Below are 10,228 nucleotides of genomic sequence, written 5' to 3'. Positions count from 1 at the left end.
CCAGTGCCTGGGGCTAGGAGGACCCGCGGCGCCCTCTAATGGTGCCGGCGTGGATAGGCCGGGAACTGTCCACTTTCCAGTCAGTCTGGCGGCGAAGGTTGGAGGCCTGGGAGCGGCCCCTGTGCGGACTGAGTACACTTTTTCCTCTCTTTGTCGTTTCCAGAACTAAGTTTGTGGGAAAATGGTTTTCGTTAAGCACCTACCGAAGACCAAGCTCTGTCTCAACTTAAATGTTACTATTCTGAGAGGATTTCTGTGACCACCCTATCTGAAGCAGTGCCGGCGAAAAGGACACACTTCACACTTATTCTCATGTTACTCTGTTTTGTTTTGTTTTGTTGTTTTGTTTTTGTGACAGTTTTGCTCTGTCGCCCCGGCTGGAGTGCAGTGGCGCGATCTTGGCTCACTGCAGCCTCCGCCTCCCGGGTTCAAGCGATTCTCCTGCCTCAGCCTCCCGAGTATCTGGGATTACAGGCGTCCGCCACCACGCCCGGCTAATTTTTGTATTTTTAGTAGAGACGGGATCTCACTATGTTGGTCAGGCTGGTCTTCAACTCCTGGCCTCAAGTGATCCGCCAGCCTTGGCCTCCCAAAGTGCTGGGATTACAGGCGTGAGCCACTGCACCCGGCCTTGTATTTTCTTTGTAGCATCTGTCACTTACAGTGTTTATGTATTTGTGTCCTTGTTTGACAGCTCCCTGAACTAGAATGAGGGTAAGCATCTTCTCTGCCTTGTTCATTGCTGCACCTCCAACACTAGGTGCCTTACTTAGCACATAGTAGGTGTTCAGTAAACATGTTTGAATAGATTCATACTTGAAACTAAGAAGGATTCCCAGAAGTGGTACTTAACTGCCTCCAAGAATTAACAGTCCTCTTGGATATATATGAATATTTATTCTTCATGGAAGGTGGTAGAGCATCCCATGTGGGTTCCCTGGATATAGGTTCAATCTTGGCATTGACGTTTGTTTTAGTGAATGTTACCTTGGATATGTCACTTTAGCTCTGAGTTTATTTCCCTTATAATAGTACCTACTTTATAAGAAATCTTTGAGGATCCAAAGAGAATACAGCTGTGAAAGCTCCCACATCTGTATAATGCTTTATGGGTCACAGAGCTTTATATTAGCACAGGTTATTAATGACTGTACCACTCGTGCAGTCAGAGGAAAAGTTTTAAAAGATGGCCCTGGATCTTCACAAGTGTTGGGTAGATGGGGTGGACGGGATAGAAAGTTGACTAAGACGGCTGGGCGCCGTGGCTCATGCCTGTAATCCCAGCACTTTGGGAGGCCGAAGCGGGCTGATTACCCGAGGTCAGGAGTTCGAGACCAGCCTGGACAACATGGTGAAACCTCATCTCTACTAAGAATACAAAAATTAGCCGGATGTGGTGGTGGGCGCCTGTAATCCCAGCTACTCGGGAGGCTGAGGCAGGAGAATCGCTTTAACCCAGGAGGCGGAGGTTGAGGTGAGCCAAGATCGCACCACTGCACTCCAGCCTGGGCAACAGAGTGAGACTGTCTCAAAAAAAAAAAAAAAAAAAAAAAAGTTGACTAAGACATGGTCTTCATATTCAGGTAGTTTTTTTTTTTGTTTTTTTTTTTTTTGGAGACAGAGTCTCACTCTGTCACCCAGGCTGGAGTGCAGTGGCGCAATTTCAGCTCACTGCAACCTTCATCTCCCGGATTCAAGTGATTCTCCTGCCTCAGCCTCCCAAGTAGCTGGGTTTACAGGCGCCCGCCACCATGCCCAGACAACTTTTGTATTCTTTTTTTTTTTTTTTGACACGGAGTCTCGCTCTGTTGCCCAGGCTGGAGTGCAGTGGCGCAATCTCGGCTCACTGCAACTTCCGCCTCCCGGATTCACACCATTCTCCTGCATCAGCCTCCCGAGTAGCTGGGACTGCAGGTGCCCACCACCACACCTGGCTAATTTTTTGTATTTTCAGTAGAAACGGGGTTTCACCATGTTAGCCAGGATGGTCTTGATCTCCTGACCTCGTGATCCTCCCACCTCGGCCTCCCAAAGTGCTGGGATTAGAGGTGTGAGCCATCACACCCAGTCCAATTTTTGTATTCTTAGTAGAGACGCGGTTTCACCATGTTGGCCAGGCTAGTCTCGAACTCCTGAACTCAGGTGATCTGCCCACCTCAGCTTCGCAAAGTGCTGGGATTACAGGCGTGAGCCAACGTGCCCAGCCATCTTCAGGTAGCTTCTGAGTCATGTCAACTACTCAAGAATGTTCAGCTCTAAAATTCTGGAACTCTCTTGGAAAGGAGACAAAATCAGAATTTTGTGGAGAAAATAGGAAGGAACTGTGTCTGAAAGGATGGAGTAGAGGGGAAGGCATTTCATGCAATGAAAGAATGTGGCAGGAACACAGGTCATTCCTCAGACTTTTCTTTCTTTCTCTTCCTTCCTTTCCTTCCTTTTCTTTCTTTCCTTCCTCTCTTTCTTTCTCTTTCTCTCTTTCTTTCTTTCATAGGGTCTCGCTGTGTCGCCCAGGCTAGAGTGCAGTGGCCCCATCATGGCTCACTGCAGCCTTGATCTCCTGGGCTCAAGTGGTCCTCTCACCTCAGCCTCCCAAGTAGCTGGGATTACAGGCGCATGCCGCCACGCCCAGCTAATTTTTGTGTTTTTAGTAGAGATAGAGATTTGCCACGTTAGCCAGGCTGATCTTGAACTCCTAGACTCAAGCAATTCCCCTGCCTTGATCTCCCAAAGTGCTGGGATTACAGACTTGAGCCACTGCACCCAGCCCTTTCCTGAGATATTTATTTAGTGTTTAGGCCTCTTCCCCCTTTCCCCCGCTACACACACACACACACACACACACACACACACACACGCGCGTGCACACGCACACACACACACACACACACATGCATCTTGTTGGTTCTATCTTCTAGCTGTTCTTCAATCAGCCAGCTTCCTTCTATCTTCTCTGCCACCACCCTAGGCTAAGCTGCAAGCCTCTGGTCCCCACTTCTACAGCAGCCTCTTTACTGGTTTCCCTGCCATATGTTTTGTCCTCCCTCCAACCAGTTCTCCATGTTGTATGTAACCAGAGAGAGCTTTTAAAATTGCAAATCTAAGCTTGTCATTTCTCTTTATAAAACCTTTCAGGTTTCCGACTGGGCGCGGTGGCTCACGCCTGTAATCCCAGCACTTTGGGAGGCCGAGGCGGGCGAATCACGAGGTCAGGAGATCAAGACCATCCTGGCCAACATGGTGAAACCCCATCTCTTCTAAAAATACAAAAATTAGCCGGGCATGGTGGTGCGTGCCTATAATCCCAGCTGCAGCTACTCAGGAGGCTGAGGCAGGAGAATCACTTTAACTTGGGAGGCGGAGGTTGCAGTGAGCTGAGATCACACCATTGCACTCCAGCCTGGGCAACAGAGTGAGACTGTGTCTCAAAAAACAAACAAACAAAAGGCTGTGGGCTGGGCACAGTGACTCACACCTGTAATCCCAGCACTTTGGGAAGCTGAGGCAGGCAAATCACCTGAGGTCAGGAGTTCAAGACTAGCCTGACCAATATGATGAAACCCCGTCTCTACTAAAAATATAAAACTTAGGCTTGGCGCAGTGGTCCATGCCTGTAATCCCAGCACTTTGGGAGGCCAAGGCAGGTGGATCACCTGAGGTCGGGAGTTCAAGACCAGCCTGACCAACATGGAGAAACCCCGTCTCTACTAAAAATACAAAATTAGCCAGACTTGGTGGCGTATACCAGTAATCCCAACTACTCAGGAGGCCAAGGGAGAAGAATCGCTTGAACCCGGGAGGCGGAGGTTGTGGTGAGCTGAGATTGCGCCACTGCACTCCAGCCTGGGCAACAAGAACGGAACTCCATCTCAAAAAGAAAAAAAAAAACAAAAATTAGCTGGGCATGGTGACATACACCTGTAATCCCAGCTATTCAGGAGGCTGAGAGAGGAAAATTGCTTGAACCCGGGAGGCAGAGGTTGCGGTGAGCCGAGATCACGCCATTGCCTCCAGCCTGAGCAACAAGAGCGAAACTCTGTCTCAAAAAAAAAAAAAAAAAGAAAAACCAAGCTGTGCCACAACCACCTTGGGCACGTGTCATCAGGACCTCCTAAGGCTGTGTCATGTCCTTGACCTTGGCAAAATAAACTTTCTAAATTGATTGAGACCTGTCTCAGATATTTTGGGTTCACATAGGTGTGAGTCACTAAGCCAGACCTAGCTCCACTTTATACATGAGGAAAATGAGGTTCAATAATCTGCTCAAGATTGAGTCAGAATTTGAACCCAGGCAGGCTGGGCATATGAGTTAGTGCTGCACTGTATATAAACAGCTCTGTTACAGGAAACTCTTAACCCCACAGACTGAGGTTCCTGTTACTCACTTTGTAGCTAGCTATACTTATTTTTCATAGTACTTAACATCATAATTAATTAGCTGTGTCATTATACATTTCATGGCTATCTTCCCCACAGGAGTCTAAGCTCACTGTATTCCAGTCCCTGGCACACAAGGGGGGCTTATTAAATATTTATTAAATGAATATGGCCAAGCGCAGTGGCTCATATTTGTAATCCCAGCACTTTGGGAGGCTGAGGAGGATGATCACTTGAGGTCAGGAGTTCGAGACCAGCCTGGGCAAGATAGTGAAACCACGTCTCTACCAAAAATACAAAAATTAGCTGGGCGTGGTGGCACACGCCTGTAATCCCAGCTACTCTGGAGGCTGAAGCAGGAGAATCACTTGAACCCGGGAGGTGGAGGTTGCAGTGAGCTGAGATCATGCCACTGTACTCCAGCCTGGGTGACAGAGTGAGACTTCATCTCAAAAATAAAATAAAAACTACAGAGGCTGAGCACAGTGGCTCATGCCTGTAATCCCAGCACTTTGGGAGGCCAAGGTGGGCGGATCACGAAGTCAGGAGTTTGAGACCAGCCTGACCAACATGGTGAAATCCCGTCTCTACTAAAAATACAAAAATTAGCCAGGCGTGGTGGTGTGCACCTGTAATCCCAGCTACTCAGGAGACTGAGGCAGGAGAATCACTTGAACCCGGGAGGGGGAGGTTGCAGTGAGCCGAGATCATGCCACTGCACTCCAGCCTGGGTGACAGAGGGAGACTCCATCTCAAGAAAACAAAACAAAAAACCAGAAAGGGTTAGGCACAGTGGATCATGCTGTAATACCAGCACTTTGAAAAGCCAAGGCAGGCGGATCGAGACCAGCCTGGCCAATATGGTGAAACCCTGTCTCTACTAAAAATACAAAAATTAGCTGGGTGAGGTGGCAAGCACCTGTAATCCTGGCTACTCGGGAGGCTGAGGCAGGAGAATCGCTTGAACCTGGGAGACGGAGGTTGCAGTGAGCTGAGATTGCACCACTGCACTCCAGCCTGGGTGACAAACCCAGAATCTATTTCAGTAAAACCCAAAAAACAAAAAACATGCCGGGCGCAGTGGCTCATACCTGTAATCTCAGCACTTTGGGAGGCTGAGGCGGGTGGATCACCTGAGGTCAGGAGTTTGGGACCAGCCTGACCAACAAGGAGAAACCCCCATCTCTACTAAAAATACAAAATTAGCCAGGCGTGGTGGTGCATGCCTGTAATTCCAGCTACTCGGGAGGCTGAGGCAGGAGAATCACTTGTACCCAGGAGGTGGAGGTTGCAGTAAGCCAAGATCACGCCATTGCACTCCAGCCTGGGCAACAAGAGCAAAACTCCATCTCAAAAACAAACAAACAAACAGAAATTATATTGTATAAGCCAAGAACATACAAACATAGCATGAACTAAAAAAAAAAAAAACTGTCCTCAACTTAGATACATGTAAGGATGTCTTGCTCTGCAAATTGGGCTAGTTAACGATAAAAGTGGCGTGAATGATGATGACATTGATGATTTGAATAAAATTATGATATAAAATTTGACTGAAAAAGCATTATTTCTAAATAAATGTTTTATATGTGGTTTAAAATATGTGTTGCTAAATAATATTAGACTTACATTTTCCACTAAGTAGATGTTTAAAGTAGACATCTGACTACTTCATAAAAGGTTGGCCAAAAACTATCTTTTAGTTCTTCTCCTTGGGAAACGTAAGGCATTGCCTTACATTAAAATGTGCAGCTGGGTGCAGTGGTTCACACCTGTAATCTCAGCACTTTGGGAGGCCAAGGGGGGAAGATCTTTGAGGTCAGGACTTTGAGACCAGCCTGACCAACGTGGTGAAACCCCGTCTCTACCAAAAATACAAATATTAGCCAGGCGTGGTGGTGCTTGCCCATAATCCCAGCTACCCTAGAGGCTGAGGTGGGAGGATCGCTTGAACCCGGGAGGTGGAGATTATAGTGAGCCAAGATCACACCACTTCACTCCAGCCTGGGCAACAGAGTGAGACTCTGTCTCAAAAAAAAAAAAAAAGTTGAAGGAGTAGTAAATTCATAATTTTTTTTTTTTTTTAGACAGAGTCTCGCTCTGTCACCCAGGCTGGAGTGCAATGGTGTGATCTCGGCTCACTGCAACCTCTGCCTCCTGGGTTCAAGCACTTCTCCCTGCCTCAGCCTCTTGAGTAGCTGGGATGACAGGTGTGAGCCACTGTGCCTGGCTGTAAATTTATAAATTCTGATGGTGGTGGCAGTAGTGGTGCTTCCAGGTGAAGAAACATCAGATTTGAAGTAGGTTGTGGAGAGTCAATTGGAGATTGCTTGGCAGACAAGTAGTAGGAATAAATGGCACAAGATTGGAGCCCCCAAACCCAAGTATCACTGGGAGTATCATTTCTAGGAAGAAAGAAGGAACAATATGTGCAAAGATATGGAAGAATGCAACCTTAGGGAAAGGTAAAGTTTCTTTTTGTAGCAGAGGTAATAACTGCAGTGATTTGCCACTTTTAGTTACTAATTCACTAAATTTGACAAGCTGATTCGGGACAGTTATTCTTCCCAAGGAACTGGGGGGGAAATACCAGAATGAAAGAGTTTTTGTTTGTATTTTAATCTGTTTATAGAGAGGTGGTCTTGCCATGTTGTCCAGGCTGGTCTTAAACTCCTGGCCTCAAGGGATTCTTCTACCTTGATCTCCCAGAGGACTAGGATTACAGGTGTGAACCACTGGGCCCAGTCTTAAAGAGGGATTTTTTTTTTTAAGTGAGTTTTAATTTTTTTGTAGAGACAAGGCCTCACTATGTTGCCCAGGTCAGTCTCAAACTCCTGGCCTCAAGCAACCCTCCTACCTCAGTCTCCCAAATTGCCAGGATTACAGGCATGAACCACACCGAACCCGGCCAAGGGTTTTATTTATTTATTTATTTATTGAGACAGCGTCTTGCTCTGTTGCTCAGGCTGGAGCGCAGTGTCTGAATATCAGCTCACTGCAACCTGCACCTCCTGAGTTCAAGTGATTCTGGTGCCTCAGCCTCCCAAGTAGCTGGGACTACAGGTCATGTACCACCATGCCCGACTGGCTAATTTTGTTTTAGTAGAGACAGGGTTTCTAGCCTGGCCTGTTGCCCAGGCTGGTGTTGAACTCAAGTGATCCACCTGCCTCGGCCTCCCAAAGTGCTGGGATTACAGGCGTGAGCCGCTGCGCCCAGCCCTGCCAAGGGTTTTGTTTTGTTTTGTTTTGTTTGAGACAGTTTCACTCTTGTTGCCCAGGCTGGGTGCAGTGACACCATCTTGGCTCACTGCAACTTCCGCCCTCTGGGCTCAAGCAATTCTTCTGCCTCAGCCTCTTGAGTAGCTGGGATTACAGGCACCCACCACCACACCCAGCTAATTTTTTGTATTTTTAGTAGAGATAGTGTTTCATCATGTTGGCCAGGCTGGTTTCAAACTTCTGACCTCAGGTGAGCCACTCACCTTGGCCTCCCAAAGTGCAGGGATTACAGGCATGAGCCACCGCGCCCAGCCCTGGCCAAGGGTCTTAATAACCAATGGTTAATACAGTTTTATGATACTCTCTGAGCAAGAGTAAAACCTAATTCCCAAAAACCCACCTAATCCTATTTCTTTTGTATGTATTAAAAATGTTTTAAAAGGATAATAAGAAAGAATACTATAACATTTCTCTATGTATCCACTACCCAAAATGAATAAATAGTATCATACCTATTTTCGCCTTCCAAGTCCAATTCTCTTCCTTTTCTCCTTCCCTTTAGGCATCACTTTTATATTAGCCTACTTTCATTTTTTAAAAATTTTTAATTGTTTTATTTTTTGAGACAGAGTCTCACTCTGTCTCTCAGGCTGCAGTGCAGTGGCACAATCTCGGCTAACTGCAACCTCCACCTCCTGGGTTTCAGCGATTTTCCTGCCTTAGCCTCTGAGTAGCTGGGACTACAGGCCTGTACCACAATGCCTGGCTAATTTTTGTATTTTTAGTAGAGACGGGGTTTCGCCATGTTGGCCAGTCTGGTCTCGAACTCCTGACCTCAAGTGGTCCGCCCACCTCGGCCTCTCAAAGTGCTGGGATTACAAGCATGAGCCACTGTGCCCAGCCTAGTCTGCTTTTAATTCTTTGAATGTCTATCTATCTATCTATGATGTATTTACACACACATACATATATACATACATACATCTATACACATACATATACATACATATGAACATTTACATATATATGGTATTTCTTAATGTTTTAAAAATTCATGTAATTTGTTTCATGTGGCACTTATTTTCCTGCATCTTGTTTTGTTTCCTTAACTTTGTTTTCATAATTTGTTCATCTAGATTAAGTTCATTGATTTATTTTATTTTCTCAATTTTTTAAATTTTTATTCTTTTCTTTTGAGATGGAGTCTTGCTCTGTCACCCAGGCTGGAGTGCAGTGGCATGATCTTCGCTCACTGCAACCTCCACCTCCCGGGTTCAAGCGATTCTTCTGCCTCAGCCTCCTGGGTAGCTGGGATTACAGGCACATGCCACCACACCAGGCTAATTTTTGTATTTTTATTAGAGACAGGGTTTTGCCATGTTGACCTGGCTGGTCTCAAACTCCTGACCTCAGGTGATCCACCCACCTCAGCCTCCCAAAGTGCTGGGATTACATGTGTGAGCCACTGGCCCAGCAAGTTCATTCATTTAGCTTGCTGAATGGTGTTCCATCACATGAATACACCCCAATTTGCTTATCCATTTGCTACTGATTGACATTTACATTGTTTTTAGTGTTTCATTATTACAAACACTACATTTCAGGGAATATCCTCCAACAGGTCTCCTAGTGCTAATGGATGAGAGTTTCTATGAAGGAATGTTTTTAGAGGTTTTTTTTTTTGAAACCACTATGGAAATATGTTTTATATTGAGACCCAGTTCATAGATGAAATAAAAATTTAACAAAATAATACCTGCCCTTGCTATATGCACTCTGTTTCCTACTCTATTGCATTCTGTCCTATTTCATTTTTGTAAAATGCTGGACATGACTCACTACATTGATTTTATGACTCACTAATGGATTGAAAAACAATGCTGTAAGGCATTTATCTGGAAGTAGACTCTCTAGATCAAAGAATAAGTGCATTTTCAACTTGAGTAGATATTATCAAGTTGCTCTCCAAAGTGGGTGTATCAGTTTTACAGGATATCAGAGTCCTAGTTTTTCCATATCCTCACTGACACTTGAAATGGTCAGAATTTTAGATTATTGATGGTCCTGTAGATGTGAAACAAATATCATTGTCAGTTTAATTTGGAAAAAATTAGCCAGGCGTCGTGGCATGTGCCTGTAGTCCCAGCTACTTGGGAGGCTGAGGTGGGAGGATCACCTGAGCCCAGGAGGTCAAGGCTGCAGTGAGCTGTGATTGGACCACTGCACTCCAGCCTGGGCGACAGGGTGAGAATTTGTGTCAAAAAAAAAAAAAAAAAAGAAAAGAAAAAAAAGTTTTTTAGATGGGAGTTTTAAATATTTTTAATAGTCAATTGAATCAGAATGGTCCATTTTTACTTCTGCTTTTTCATAATTTTATTGTTAAAATTTTATCTTGATTATAAAAATACTATATATTTTTTCAAATAATTTTGTTGTTGTTTTTGAGACAAGGTCTCACTCTGTCACCTAAGCTGGACTGCAATGGTGCAATCTCAACCCACTGCAACCTCCACATCCTGGGCTCAAACGGCCCTCCTGCCTCAGCCTCCCAGGTAGCTGGGACTACAGGCATGCACCACCATGCCTGGCTAATTTTTGTATTTTTTGTAGAGACGGGGTTTCACCATGTTGCTCA

The 10,228-nt window shown here is 45.5% G+C and overlaps 2 annotated features.

Annotated features, from left to right (window-relative positions):
- Positions 91-170: an enhancer, noted in NCBI's record as "active region_6367". NCBI's record gives its function as "activates an Ori minimal core promoter by ATAC-STARR-seq in GM12878 lymphoblastoid cells {active_cell/tissue: GM12878}" and the evidence as "EXISTENCE:reporter gene assay evidence [ECO:0000049][PMID:35858748]".
- Positions 221-340: an enhancer, noted in NCBI's record as "active region_6366". NCBI's record gives its function as "activates an Ori minimal core promoter by ATAC-STARR-seq in GM12878 lymphoblastoid cells {active_cell/tissue: GM12878}" and the evidence as "EXISTENCE:reporter gene assay evidence [ECO:0000049][PMID:35858748]".

The sequence above is a fragment of the Homo sapiens genome, chromosome 12, assembly GCF_000001405.40.
Source record: "Homo sapiens chromosome 12, GRCh38.p14 Primary Assembly".
NCBI lineage: Eukaryota > Metazoa > Chordata > Mammalia > Primates > Hominidae > Homo > Homo sapiens.
Note: the sequence above shows the minus strand (reverse complement) of the source record. Positions and strands in the feature narration are given on the sequence as shown.